This window comes from Homo sapiens, chromosome 5, assembly GCF_000001405.40.
Source record: "Homo sapiens chromosome 5, GRCh38.p14 Primary Assembly".
Lineage (NCBI taxonomy): Eukaryota > Metazoa > Chordata > Mammalia > Primates > Hominidae > Homo > Homo sapiens.
Window position 1 is genome coordinate 65,089,569 of NC_000005.10, and position 14,530 is coordinate 65,104,098.

Sequence of the window (14,530 nt, forward strand, 5' to 3'; positions counted from 1 at the left end):
ACAACCTAGGAGGAATGTTGGAGTCAGGATTCAAAGAAAATTAATCAAGAACCAGAATGTGGAGGAAGTTGAAAACTGTGTTACTGCATCTAGAAGAGAAAAGGCTCAATGTTGTCTCTCGATCTGCAATATGAAGGAGTCGTATTGGATGAGAGCCACAGTTCCCTCCAGTTGTAACTTTCTATACTTTTAATGGCTAAATATATGATTGATTATTATTTGTTCTGGTATGGAGTGGTAATTATGAGAAAAGAACCTGGACATCAAGGGCAAGACTATCTTACTTTTTTCCTCTGCCAGGAAACTGCTCTAAGGTTGCCAAAAATATCCTAGCAGTCACTGTGAATCCATCAACCTCTATTTACAGGAACACCTACTATGTACCAGGCACTATTTCAGGAGCCCAGGATATAAAGATGAATAAGACCCAGTCCCTGCCACCTAGGATCCCAGAATCTGGCAAGGGAGACACATGTAAAACCTATCCCAGTAAGAGCTCTGCTTGAGATGATGTGTGAGATGCTATGAGTTGCATGAGAGTGCAACTAACTCTAAGGATCTGAAAAGGTTTCTCCTGATGTTTTTGTCAGGTCTTAAGGAATAAGGTCAGGGTGTTCCAGGCAGAGAAAAGGAAGAAAGGGCATTCCTGGGAAAAGTGATGAGTGAGGAATGGCAGAAAGAGGGGCAGCTTGTGTGGCTGCCGTTGAGTGAGAAGGTGAGGAGAGCAAAGAGACCAGAAGGTGAAGAGAGAAAAGTGAAACGTTGGTTTCAAGAGTTTAAAGCATCTTTTATAGCCCACTAATTAATTTGATGTCATCTCTAAAGCCATGGGTCTCAATTGGTGGTAAGTAGTCATTGCAAGGCATTCACCAATCCACCAATCATTGTCTCCAGATTGAATACATGTTATCTTTCCAAATATATATTACTATTGGTTCAATGTAAGCAAATTCCATGCTTATTAATCCAAAAAAATTTAACATTATTGCTGGATTCAGAGTAGGTTTTGGTTTACATAATTTCTCAATTAATATATATGTGGGTATCCACAATGTTTCTTGACATGAAAAAACCAATGAACCGTTGTTTTGGGTAACAGCAAATGGTTACACATTTTAAAACAGAAATGTAGGATGATCAGATTGTTATTTTAGAATGATCACTCTAAACAGATGTTGGCGATGGATCTAAGGGGAATGGAAGGAAAAGCGAGGATATTGGTTAGAAAGCTGATCGACGTGAACAATAATTAGGACCTCTGACAGTGAAGGGGAGTGAGAGAGGAGACAATCAACACAGGAGGTATGTAGAAAGTAAAAATAAAAAGAGTTTCAACAAATTTAACATGAAAGAGAGAGAAGAAAGGCGGAGTGAGGACCACCCCCAAGTTTCAAGTTTAGACTGTGAAGTGGGAATGGAAATAGAATATGTAGGAAGTAGGATTGTTGGAGAAGATAATAAATTTGGTTTGAGATATATTCATTTAGGGTTCCTGAGGGACAGAGAAGACAAATCCTTAGTAAGAGCTGAGAAATGTGAGTTGGAACCCCAGGAAAGAGGCAGAGGCCACAGATAAAGATACAATAGAGTAATAGCTGTGATCTGTGGCATATACATGGAAGATGCACAAATCTCTTTGAAACAACTAGCACTTTTCTTTTGCTCCCTTTTCCTCACCCCCTTTTCCATTCTACTGCCTAGCATTCTAATGGTTACTTTGGATTCTGATAATGAGTGCCACACCCTAGGCATGTGGAGCAGAAGGCTGGGGAGAGCCTGGGTTCTGAGGACTTTGTGGAACACAACTGTCATCCTAACCTTGGATGTCTTTGGACTCTTTTTTGAGAAAGAAAGGAATGTCTCTTTTGTAAGTTGCTGTGATTTTTCCTTTATTTCATGCATTGAACCAAATCCTAATTAATTCATAGTATGTGCTGAGAATTATATTTTTCCTGTATCATATGTTCTCAGAATCAAGGAATCAGAGAGGAGATAAGAGTGTAACATTTCAACATTCTAGAAAACTGGACTAGAAAGTATACTGATATGGTTTGGCTCTGTGTCCCCACCCAAATCTCATCTCTAATTGCAATCCCCATAATCCCCATGTGTTGAGGAAGGGACCTAGTGGGAGGCGATAGGATCATGGGGGTGGTTCCCCCGCCCCATGCTGTTCTCTTGATAGTGAGTGAGTTCTCACCAGAACTGATGGTTTTGTAAGTGTCTGACAGTTCCTCTTTCACATGCTGTCTCTTGCCTGCTGCCATGTAAGATGTGCCTCCTTCCCCTTCCACCATAATTATAAGTTTCCTGAGGCCTCCCAGCCATATGGACCTGTGAGTCAATCAAACCTCTTTGCTTTATAAATTTTTCAGTCTCAGGTATTTCTTTATAGCAGTATGAGAACAAACTAATACATATACCTAGCATCTTCATTCTTGAGAAGGGGAATCCATCTGCTGAAGAAGATAGTGAAAGGGACAAGGCAATCACCACCCAGTCTGTTGGCCAATACCAGATCTGGATCTATCTCTTCCTATTTCACAATAACTGAAAAGGTAAAATAAATAAAATGAAATAACTATTTATATAAAGTTTTAAACCAGGCAAAACTAATAGATGGTGACAGCAGTCAGGATATAGTGATTACTTTAGGAGTGGTAACTGGGAGAGGGTGTGAGGTATGCTTCTCTCACGCTCGCACTGTGCTCTTTCATGATTTGAGTGGTAGTTACATTTTGAGAAAATTCATGGAGCAGTCCATTTATATGTTATATATAGTTTTATATATGTAAGTTATTAAGCAACAAAACATTTATAAAAATAAATATAAAATAAGAGAAAGAATGAGAGAAAATTTTTTGCTGAAACAGGCATCTGAAAACTATGAATATTTGATAAAGCTATTTGGCATCATCAATAAGACGTAAGGGGATATGTACTTTATGAAACAAGACCAGAAAACTATGAGTAGTAAACAGGCTGGGATGAAAAGAAAGCTGCTTGAGATTTTAAAACATTTTAAAATAAAAAACGTAATAGTAGACGTGACATATGCATCACAGCCCCAAAAGTGTACAATTGACATTCTTGATAACAGAGTGGGGGCAGAGCAAGATGGCAGAATAGAAGACCCCCACTGATCATCCCCCCTGCAGGAACATCAAATTCAACAACTGTCTACACACAAAAAAAGCACCTTCATTAGGACCAAAAATCAGGTGAGCACTCACAGTACTTGGTAAGAGGCACTGAAGAGGGTAGGAAAGACAGTCTTCAATCACCAACATTACCCCTCCCCCATCTGCCACCCCAACAGTGGCAGCGTTGCATGGAGAGAGGCTCTACACTTGGGAGAGGGAAGTGCAGCGGATTGTGAGGCTTTGCACTGAACTCAGTGCTGCCCTATTATGGTGGAAAACAAAACTGGGCTTAATTCAGCTAGTACCTGCTCATGGAGGAAGTATTCAGACCAGCCCAAGTCAGAGGAGAATTGCCCATCCCAGTGGTCAGAACTTCAAGAACTTCAGTTCTGGCAAGCCCTGCCACTGTAGGCTGCAGTGCCCAGGGGCCCTAAGTAAATTTGAACGGCACTCTAGCCCACAAGGACTGTAAGTCCTAGTGCTGAGCTGGGTTGAGAGCCAGTGGAGTTGGGAGGCATGAGACTTACTGAGACACCAGCCGGAGAAGCTAAGGGAGTTCTTGCACCACTCCTCACCCAACCCCAGGCAACACAGCTAGCAGCTCCAAAAGAGACGTATTGCTTCCACTTGAGGAGAGGAGAGGGAAGAGTAAAGAGGACTTTTGACTTACATCTTGGATACCAGCTCAGCTACAGTAGGATAGGACAACAGTCAGAATCCTGAGGCCCCTATTCCAGGTCCTAGCTCCTGGACAGCATGTCTAGATACACCCTAAACCAGAAGGGAAACTGTTGCCTTGAAGGGAAGGACCAAGTTTTAGCAGGATCCATCACCTACTGACTAAAAAGCCCTTGGGCCTGAATAACAAGCAGCAATACCAAGTAGCATGACACAGGCCTTAGGTGAGACTCTGAGATGTGCTGTCTTCAGGTACCAGCTCAGCCACAGTGGGGTAGAGAAGCAGGCAGTCTCCTGGGGTCCCTGATTCCAAGACTTGGCTACTGGCTGGCATTTCTAGACCTTCCCTGAGCCAAAAGACAGCCCACTGCACTGAAGGGTGAGTCCTGGGCCTGTTAGCATTCACTACAAGCTGCCTGAAGAGTCCTTGGGCCTTAAGGGAGCATCAATGGTTACCTGGCATTACTCTCAGTGGGCCTGTGGTGGTAGTGGCCATGGGGTGAGGCTCCTCTGCCTGTGCAAAGTAGGGGGAAGAGTGAGAAGGACTGTGTCTAGTGGTTTGAGGGCCAGCTCAGCCACTAAGGTTTTTAACTCCAGTCTCTAGCTCCTGGATAGCATCTCTGGACCTGCCTAGGACCTGGGAGAACTCGACACCTTGAAGGGAAGGACACGAGTCTGGCTGGTTTCAACACCTGCTGATTGTAGAGCCCCAGGGCCTTGAGCAAACATAGGCAATAGCCAGGTAGTGGTTACAGCAGGCCTTGGGCAAGACTCAATGTTGTGCTGGCTTCAGGTCTGATCCAACACAGTCCCAGTGGAGGCCACAGGGTGCTTGTGTCACCCCACCCACAGTCCCAAGCAGCTCAGCACAAATAAAAAGACTCCATTTGCTTGGAAGGAAGTAAGGGAAAAGAACAAGACTCTCCGCGTGGTAATCCAGAGAACTCTTCCAGATCTTATCCAAGACCACCAAGACGGTACCTCTGAGTCTGCAAGAACCACAGCATTACTGCTCATGAGGTGCCTCCTAATGCAGTTATGGCTTAGATCACAATGCCCAATTCCTTTCAAATACCTGGAAAGCGTTTCCAAGGAGGACAGGTACAAACAAGCCCAGACTGCGAAGACTATAATAAATACCTAACTCTTCAATGCTCAGGCACCAGTGAACATCAACAAGCATCAATACCATCCAGGAAAACATGACCTCACCAAATGAACTAAATAAGGACCCAGGGACCAATCTTGGAGAAACAGAAATATGTGACCTTTCAGAGAAAAGGAAATCTTTATACACTGTTGGTGGGAATGTAAATTAGTACAACCTCTATGGAGAACTAAAAACTAAAAATAGAGCTATTATACGATCCAGCAATCTTTCTGCTAGGTTTATACCCAAAAGAAAAGAAATCACATTACTGAAGATATATCTGCACTCCCATGTTTACTGCACAATAGCCAGTTTGGAAGCAACCTAAGTGTCTATCAACAGATGGATAGATAAAATGAGGTACATATACACAATGGAGTACTATTCAGCTATAAAAAAGAATGAGATCCCACCATTTGCAACAGCATGGATGGAATTGGAGGTCATTATGTTAAGTGAAATAAGCCAGGCACAGAAAGGAAGTCTTCACATGTTCTCAGTTATTTGTGGGAGCTAAAAATTAAAATAATTGAACTCATGGAGATAAGAGACTAGAAGGATGTTTACCATAGGCTGGGAAGGGTAGTCGGGGATTGGAGGGAACTGAGGATGGTTAATGGGTATGAAAAGCAGTTAGAAAAAATAAATAAGTATTTTGTAGCACAATAGGGTGACTACAGTCAAAAATAATTTAATTGTACACTTAAAAATAACTAAAAGATTATAATTGGATTGTGTGTAACACAAAGGAGAAACGTTGGAGGTGATAGATACCCCATTTACCCTAATGTGATTATTACACATTACATGCCTGTATCAGAATGTCTCATGTAACCCATAAATACATACACCTAGTATGTTTCCACAAAAATTAAAAATTAATTTAAAAAATAAAAATAAGAAAACAGAATGAGAGTATAGAAGATAAGGTTGTAATTTTTTTCAATTTTGAGAAGGCAAACTAACTAGAAAAAAATTTTAATTCCTTACCTTATGCCATTTGCCAAAACTCCTTCTAAATATACATTAAATGGGCAAACTGATAAAAATTAATGATTGATATAAAGGAAGAACCTGGGATCCAATCTCAAAAATAGTCATGTTTCTGAAAATGGATCCAGAACAACTGTACAAAACAGACAAATATATAACAGAAAAAAACTTTCCTGAATTTAAGAGTGACTTAAATTTGAAGATTAAAAATGTCTCATTTTTTTCCAGGTAAAACCAATATAAAGAAACCAAAATATAGACATATCATGGCAAAATGTTTAAAAGTAAAAAAAAAAAAAAAGACTAAATAATTAAGTTTGTTGGAAAAAGAGAGAGACACAAGACCATTATTCAGGAGTAAAAAGTAGATTTATCACAGAAAAAAAAAGTCATGCTTTTATCACAAAACAGAAGGACATTCTATGATGTGCAAAGGCTTAAATTCTTCATTCATGCATTTATTCAGAAAACATTTATTGAGTACTGACTATAAGATACTTTTTTGAAAACAATTACTTGAGGGCATATATCAGTTATCTGAGTGATATAAAAAATTAAGAACTCAAGCCAAGCGCGGTGGCTCACACCTGTAATCCCAGCACTTTGGGAGGCCGAGGCAGGCAGATCACCCGAGGTCAGGAGTTTGAGACCAGTCTCAACATGGAGAAACCCCGTCTCTACTAAAAATACAAAATTAGCCGGGCGTGGTGGTGCATGCCTGTAATCCCAGCTACTCGGGAGGCTGAGGCAGGAGAACTGCTTGAACCTGGGAGGTGGAGGTTGCGGTGAACCGAGATTGTGCCATTGCACTCCAGCCTGGGCAACAAGAGCGAAACTCCGTCTCAAAAAAAAAAAAAATTTAAGAACTCAAAAACAGGAGAAAGTGACATATGAAAGGATCAGTGATGAGAACAAAAATCAGTTTAGCAGAGTTAAGATTAAATCACAGTTACAAAAATGAATACGAAACTATATGCAAAATAAAATTGAAATGGTTAAAAAATTAAAGCTGGGACAATGATCTTAGGTAAATGCAGCCATCAAAACCAGAGGTGACAATATTAATTTCAAACACAGTAGAGTCAAAACAAAAACCACTACAATGAACCAGAAGAATCATACTCTTTTACAAGTATCAACAATCCTCAACTGTTATGCGCTAAGTAACACAGCATTGAAATACTTAAGATAGAAACTCTTAAAAACTCTGAGGAGAAATTAACAGACATACAACAATGGTAAGTTTTTTGATAAATCAGGTACACTTTTAAAATAATGTGATAAATTTCAGGATTAAATAATTGCATTACAAATGAAATCATTAAAAAAACCTAGGAGAGCCAGGTTCAGTAGTATGTGCCTGCTGTCCCAGCTTCTTGGGAGGCTGAAGCAAGAGAATCGCTAGTGGCCAAGGAGTTTGAGGCTGTAGTGTGCTACGATCATGCCTCTGAATAGCCACTGCACTCCAGTCTGAGCAACATAGTGAGGCCCTGTCTGTACAAACAAGGGAGGTGAGGGGAGAAAATATAGGTGAAGAATTAACTATCTGGGAATAGGTAGACCTAAAACAATGGAAGAGACAACAAAGGGAAAGTGACAGATTAACCTACATTGTTTGAATATAAGTAAATAAAAAGAACAAACAAAATTAAAAGGTTAATGGCATACTAGAAAAACTACAACAAATAGGATAGACAAAAAACTAAATATATAAAGTTTCCTTATAAAAAAATATCAAAAGCTCTAGCTCCATGCTAGTGCTGTCCAGTTGAACTTTCCACTATGATGGAAACGTTCTGAATCTGCACTGTCCAATATGGTAGCCACTACTCACAAGAGCACTTGAGATGTAGCTAGTGCCAATGTTGAAATGATAATATTTGGGGTGTATTTAGTTAAATATATTGTATTATTAAGATTTTTATTACTAAAATAATTTTATTATTAAATTTTATTTTACCTGTTTTTTTTACTTGTTTAATGTGGCCACAAGAAAATTTGAAATTACATACACGGTTTGCATTAGGTCTCTATGCAGTACTGTTCTAGAATAATGATCAAGGAAACAATGAGAAAATTCACAAAAGAAGAAATACAAACAGCCAATAAACTATGAAAAAAAGTTCCACCTCACTTATAATCCAAGAAATACAAATTAAAACAAGATACTATGTTTTCTCTATCAAATAGACAAAGTTTAAAAAAAATACTCATTGTTGGCAAGCATTCCATAAAATGGGCACTCTCATACACTGCTGGTGGGAGTATAAATTGCTTCAACCTTTCTGGAATGGCATTTGGCAATCTGAATCAAGAGCCTTAAAAATTCTTATATTCTTTGACCTAGTGTCTCTATTTCTAGGAATTCAGCCCAAAGAAATAATTTTTTAATGTGGTTAAAGTTTTATATATATATAAAGACATTCATCACAGTGCTATTTCTAATAGTGAAAGATTGGAAACAACCTCAAAAGCCAATAATAGAGAAATTGTTAAATTATGGTACTTCTACTTTGTTAATAGTCCATAGCCTTAAAAAGTTTTTTCTAATATTTCCTAGTTATGAGGAAAATGTTCACAACAAAGAGTGAAAAAAGCAGAGCTTATTATACAATATAATCATACAGAATACTGTAAGCATATATAAAAAATGCATATAAAAACACTTTATTTCATAAAAGTAAGATCATAATTTCATATTTTCTAGCACATGTCATAGTTAGGATCAAGGTTAAGTAACACAAAAAAGGTTACAAGTGGTTATCTCTGCGGGTAAGATTTTTAATTTTCACCTTCATACTTTTCTGGGCTTTTTTTCCCCCGAAGTTCTTATGACTGTATTTTTACTACAAAAATCAGAAAAGTATTAATAATTTCGTTAAAGTATTTAATGCTACATCAATGCTCACCTTCTCTCTTAGGTTTCAGGTCCTCTATAAACTGGGTCCCTTTTCCCTTCCAAACTTACTTCCCACTGCTCCACATTAGTCATGTCCCAGTTCCCTCTATGGGATATCTGTCCTCACCTCCCTTCCCTAATGTGGTGCCGTCTAACTTCCCACTGAGCACCAGGCAGTGTCGCAATGGAAATGTTCACAGACACTCTCATTTATCCTGCCTAACAATCCTGAAAGGTAGAGATTATTATCTGCACTTTAAAGATAGAGGAAGGCAAGGAAACAGTGTTTGTTCCACTAAATGACAATTTTCCACCCACTTTTTCTCTTACTTTCTCCTATACAAATGTTTTTGGCTCAGTTGTGCCATTTTCTTGCAGGGTGACCTCGGGCAAGCTCCTTTACTTTTTTAAGGCTCAGGTTCCTCATGTGTAAATGGGGGAAACAATGGTACAAATATCATAGAGCTGGTGTGAAGATGAACAGAAATGACCTACTCAGTCCATTTGGCACACACAGTGCCTGGCCTGCCATATTATCACTACTACCTCAGGTCCCTCCTTGCACTCCAACCCCTCAGACCCAGGCCCTTCTTGTACTTGGTACTTGGTTGTTTTGCGTGTATTAGCTTCAAATCCTCAACTACTCAACAAGTTTCCAACAGGAAGAGACAGTGCCTTCTCCTCCTCCTCCATCTCCCACCACATCGAGTGCTATGGAATGTTCTGTCTGGAATCAATAAATATCTAATTGTTTGAATAATCAGTAGCATTGTTTCTTATGCCAACTCCTGGACAAACTTTTCCATAAATTCTCTTACAGAGTGAGCAGCCAACCATGTGGATTTGATGGATGTCTCCCAGATATGTTCTTATTTGCCAGCCAAAGACGGAGGAGAGGCCTGTCTACTTTATTCAAGCAAACTTAAACAACCTGCATGTTGTCATGAGCTGGATACCCACACTGCATTCCTTAGTAGGCTCCCGACGAATACCAATTTTCTAGCTAACTGCTTTCCTTGCCTTCCCATCCTAAGCCCAAACATCACTTGCTAGATTTCAGTGAGATAGAGCATCTCCGTAAGGAAACTTAGATAAGCCACGTCTGACAAAATCCTTAAGGATTTCCCTTATTCCTTATGGATTAAGAAATCCTTAACCCATAAGGAATAAGGGAACTCCACAAGGAAACTTTTGTAAGAGATTTCATGAGAAATGCCAGGCCTGCCTTTGGGTCAATGCACACTCACTCCCATCTCCTACAACCTGTGGCTGCAGTACTCACTACCGGCCAGTTGCAATCCAAGATCGGAATGTTGAGTCTGACATGCTGCGACGTTTATAACCATCCAAGAAGAAAAATAAAATAAACCAAAAAACAGCTTTGTGGCCGGGCGCAGTGGCGCAAGCCTGTAATCCCAGCACTTTGGGAGGCCAAGGTGGGCGGATCACGAGGTCAGGAGATTGAGACCATCCTGGCTAACATGGTGAAACACCGTCTCTACTAAAAATACCAAAAATTAGCCCGGTGTGGTCGCAAGCGCCTGTCGTCCCAGCTACTTGGGAGGCTGAGGCAGGAGAATGGCGTGAACCTGGGAGGCGGAGCTTGCAGTGAGCCAAGATTGCACCACTGCACTCCAGCCTGGGTGACAGAGCAAGACTCCGTCTCAAAAAAAAAAAAAAACAAAACAAAACAAACAAAAAAACAGCTTTGTTTAGTACAAAACATTACTAAAGTAGTATTGTTGCCAGAAAAAGGTATCCTGATCCAGGCCCCAAGAGAGGGTTCTTGAATCTCACACAGGAAAGAATTCAAGGCAAGTTACAGTGTACAGTGAGAAGAGATAGTTTATTGAAAGCTACTCAGATACAAAGTAGGGCGTCCTCAGAAAGCAAGAGGAGGAATATATCATCTTTGTTGTAAATTCTTCTATAGGGGTCTTATCTATGTAAAGTTTAAGCTAAGTTATATGTATGTGTGGGTGGGCTGACAATGTGACAAAATGTATTACTTTGTTGATATAATGGAAGTTATCCTTGGCATTTTAGTGTGTGGGCACATGAAAGCATGGCTATAATCATCTTAAAAGTATATATTATCCTGTGATATTGGTGCATCTGGGCATTTTGTCGTCATAGGAGTTTGTTCTTGCCGGTATTATGAAGCTGCTTCCTTAGCTGTAAACATCTTAGGACATGGTCATGACCGTGCCTTGTTAGATTTAAGATACAGTTGATTTTAAAATGGTGTCACCCTGGCTCTCCTATGCACCTGTTTACCTAACAGTATCGATAAAAGATACTTAATAAGTTGGAACAAAAAAGTTGGCTTAGGAATAACATAAAGTCACCCAGAATATTTCATCCTTAAAGAGATTTAACAAGTATTTCCTGAGCACACCCACCTCCATCTCCTTTTGAAGTAAGAAACACCATTTGCAGTAGAATGCTTCATTTCCTGAGCATCTGCTTTGTGCCAGCCACAGCGCTAGACATGGGCATACGGCAGCTTTACTGCTGCTCAGCTCCTGTGTGCCCATCCTCTCTCCTTGCCCTTCCCCATCCTCATCACTCCCCACGATGACTCGGAATTCACCCTTCACCCACAAGCCTGCCTCCCTTGATAACCTGGTGAAGAGTGATATGGACACAGGAGGTAATCAACAAATACTTGTTGAAGGAGTGAACTTGAGGAGAATCCAAATCTTCAGATCCTCAGGCCTTCAGCTCATGACACATAGAGAAACAGTCACTGGTCCCCTGGGAAGCAGGGTCCTCCAAAGCTGTCCACAACACCACCTGGAAAGGGGAAGAATTCCTTTCTGGGTGAGCCGCACACCGACTTGCACCAGGGGGCAGAGTGAGCAGCACTTTTGGAGTTTGACCTGGAGCCAGGGCCTTTTCAAGGGAGTCCTCCCGGAGTCATTTGAGACCTCCCAGTAAAACAATATGTTTTCTGTGCTTCTCAGCACATTCATGTTTCTAGTCAAAGTGCTATTGGGAAATGTTAACTTTTTCTACCCTTGAAGGAACAGTGGCCGCTGAGAGACGGTGTGACAAAATTGTGCTGAGGGGTCTTCCAGTCTGAAAGGCCAGTTCCAGGAAGCCTACAGTGGGAAGTAAAGGCCAGTTACAGTAATCCCATCATTGGGAGGTATTCTTATTTTTATGTACCAAGAAGACAGTATAATATTTAGAGGACAGTAAACCCCAGACCCACACTGTTCCATTAGACTCTTCCTTACTAGGTCGGAGGCAGCACTCGGGCACTGTAAGCCTAGCTTTATCAAGACATAATTCAGAAATGCAAACGGAAGAAATTTTACTGCAAATGGTATTTCTTACTTCAAAAGCGAGAACTGTTTTCCCTTTTATGGTATCTTAGATATCCATTTTTTGAAAATGTTTTCCCAGCACATTACAAATTACTTCAGAGTTGGGAAATGCTCCTGCTAGGAAGAGGCTGAGTGCTCGGAGGGTTGGTCTCGAGTCCCGATCAAAACATTGTTTATTTGGGCAACTACATTCTTCTGTCAGTAAGGCCTGGGGAGTTTACTATTAATCCCAAATGTAAACCTCTGTTAGAGTTGCTTACAAAAGGCGACTACTATTTAACTCTTATGTTCACAGCACATCTTGTTAATTCCTCCAATAAAGGAGAACTCAGCTCTTGCGTTTGAAATTTCCAATTTTTGGTTAGGTGACCTTAAACTACTTCACCCCTGATCTCTACTCCCATCTTTATTCTTTCTCCACTTACGGTGGGACTTCCCTAGAAAACACCTGAGGTTTACCAATTTTAGAGGGGACCGAGGGAGAGGCAGGAAATGGTGCCTGGTGAGAGCACGCTCCCTTCCTGTCTCAGAGGGTTGCTGTCTGGACGGGAATTGAAGAAGAATCAGAAATACGTACTGAATTAGGATTGCTAGAGTTAATAAAACAAACGCACACGAATTTTTGTGTGGGTCATACTCATGCTCAAAATTTGTCGTTGTCTATCTGATATTCATATGGAACTCAGTGTGCTGTATTTCAGCTGGCAACCCTTTACTGAATGGATAACCCAGATTTGGACGAAACAGTGGCTGGAAGGTGGAGGCCCTCAAAGTCTCAAAGAGAGAGGTCCTCAAGATTTCTTTTCTAGGGCATCCTCTAGTACTCAGGGTAGAAACACAGAGTCTGTGGTGGCCTTGGGGGCAAAGACGAATGTGTCCTCTAAGGCTGGCCCACCATGGGGAGGAATCCGTGTTGAATGGAGACAAAGAGAGGTGTTAGGAAGCAGCACTGGCGTCCTGCTTCCTCTCCCTATGGGTTCCCTCTGCCTTTCTCCCTCGTCTCTCCCGGAGGGCTCTCTCCCCTCCACACGCCTCCTCCCCAAGAAACCAACATAAGATAATTCTCTTCACTTTAGTTCTCCTGTGCCTGGGTGTAGATGGGAATAAAGCGATGAACCTACGGGGCGAGCGGTGGGCAAAGCTTTCTGTGTATTTGCAGCTCAGCAGTCGAGCGTCCACCCCAAGCTGCATAAACTTGGGTGCCCTCGCCTCCGGCAACCCCGGTGCTTCAGTGCTCCCGACCTTTCTCTGCCGCCCCTCGCCTCGGCGGCCGCCGGGAGCGGCTGTGGGGTGCGCCGGTCGCCCCGGGCCCGAGCGGGAGGAGAGTCCCGCCCCGCCGCGCCCCGCCTCCGGGCGCCCCGACGCTGCCGGCGCGGACGCCATTGCTGCGGCCGCTGTTTGTTATTAAACTGCCCAGAGAAAGGGCTTCGAGTAAAAACACCAACTTTCCAGTCGGGGCGGCGCAGGTCCCCGGGCCCTGGAAAGTTCTGGGACGGCCGAGGTCTCCCCGGACACCCGCACCCACGCCCCCGTCGTGCCCTTTCTGGCTTTTGGCTTCCTCTCCTCGATTTCCCTTTTGTGCGGCCCCGGGCAGCTTCCTCAGGCCCCGCCGCCCCCACCTGGCCGCCCTGGGAGCTGTTCCTCCCCCAGCAGCAGGAGCATCCAGCTCGGGTTTTATTACCTCCCGAGACACTCGAGGAAGCCTCAGGTGGGTTTCCATGTCAACCTTCACTGAAATCCAAACATTTGGCGTTCTCAAAGGCAGTTTAACCTCTGCCACCATTTTTTTTTCAAAGCTTAAAAAAAAACCTAGAACTTTCAAAAGCCGCAGGCTTCTGGGGGTTTCTAGTCAGAGGGTGATAACACATCTTGAGACAGGATATGTATAATTTGTTTGGTTTCACGTTTATCCTCACAAAGCTAAACAGTAATGACTGAGAGCTATGAAAACACTTAGGTAAGGAGAGGGGCTAGAGCAGAGATAAAAGGGATAATTGGAAACAGAGGCGAAGCCTCCAAGTTGCACCTTGTTGAATACTGTCACAGCCGGGCAGGCCGGGGAGCTCATGGCAGGATGCGGCATCTCTTAATTCTGGGCACTCCGCAGCCTCTCCTCTTCCAAGGTTTACTTACGCAAGCTTAGCTGCAATTTTCCACAGATACTCGTCCTGGTTCCGGGCCACCTTCCCCAGTAAGAGACCTCCTGAGGCGGGAGCTGGGGGTTGAACATGTGGTGAACACAGGTTCCAAGCTTTGGAACAGGCCACCTGGAAATGGGAGATAACCTGTTGAGATAAGGGATTTACTGAGGCCAGGGCGCACTGTAGGGAGCGGG

The 14,530-nt window shown here is 42.2% G+C and overlaps 1 long non-coding RNA gene across 2 annotated transcripts in view, besides 4 other annotated features; it reads left to right on the forward strand.

Annotated features, from left to right (window-relative positions):
• LOC107986419 (uncharacterized) overlaps positions 1 to 10,252 on the forward strand; it is a 43,621-nt gene extending 33,369 nt beyond the window's left edge. For both annotated transcript variants that reach the window (XR_001742681.2, XR_001742682.2), the window contains exon 3: positions 9,684 to 10,252. This is a non-coding gene — a long non-coding RNA (uncharacterized LOC107986419). The remainder of the gene's footprint in view (positions 1 to 9,683) is intronic.
• Positions 12,921 to 13,421: an enhancer, noted in NCBI's record as "H3K27ac hESC enhancer chr5:64398316-64398816 (GRCh37/hg19 assembly coordinates)". NCBI's record gives its function as "activates a minimal SCP1, AML or CMV promoter by ChIP-STARR-seq in primed H9 embryonic stem cells {active_cell/tissue: H9 hESC(primed)}" and the evidence as "EXISTENCE:reporter gene assay evidence [ECO:0000049][PMID:30033119]".
• Positions 13,404 to 13,693: a silencer, noted in NCBI's record as "silent region_16055". NCBI's record gives its function as "represses an Ori minimal core promoter by ATAC-STARR-seq in GM12878 lymphoblastoid cells {active_cell/tissue: GM12878}" and the evidence as "EXISTENCE:reporter gene assay evidence [ECO:0000049][PMID:35858748]".
• Positions 13,404 to 13,922: a biological region, named in NCBI's record as "H3K27ac hESC enhancer GRCh37_chr5:64398817-64399317".
• Positions 13,422 to 13,922: an enhancer, noted in NCBI's record as "H3K27ac hESC enhancer chr5:64398817-64399317 (GRCh37/hg19 assembly coordinates)". NCBI's record gives its function as "activates a minimal SCP1, AML or CMV promoter by ChIP-STARR-seq in primed H9 embryonic stem cells {active_cell/tissue: H9 hESC(primed)}" and the evidence as "EXISTENCE:reporter gene assay evidence [ECO:0000049][PMID:30033119]".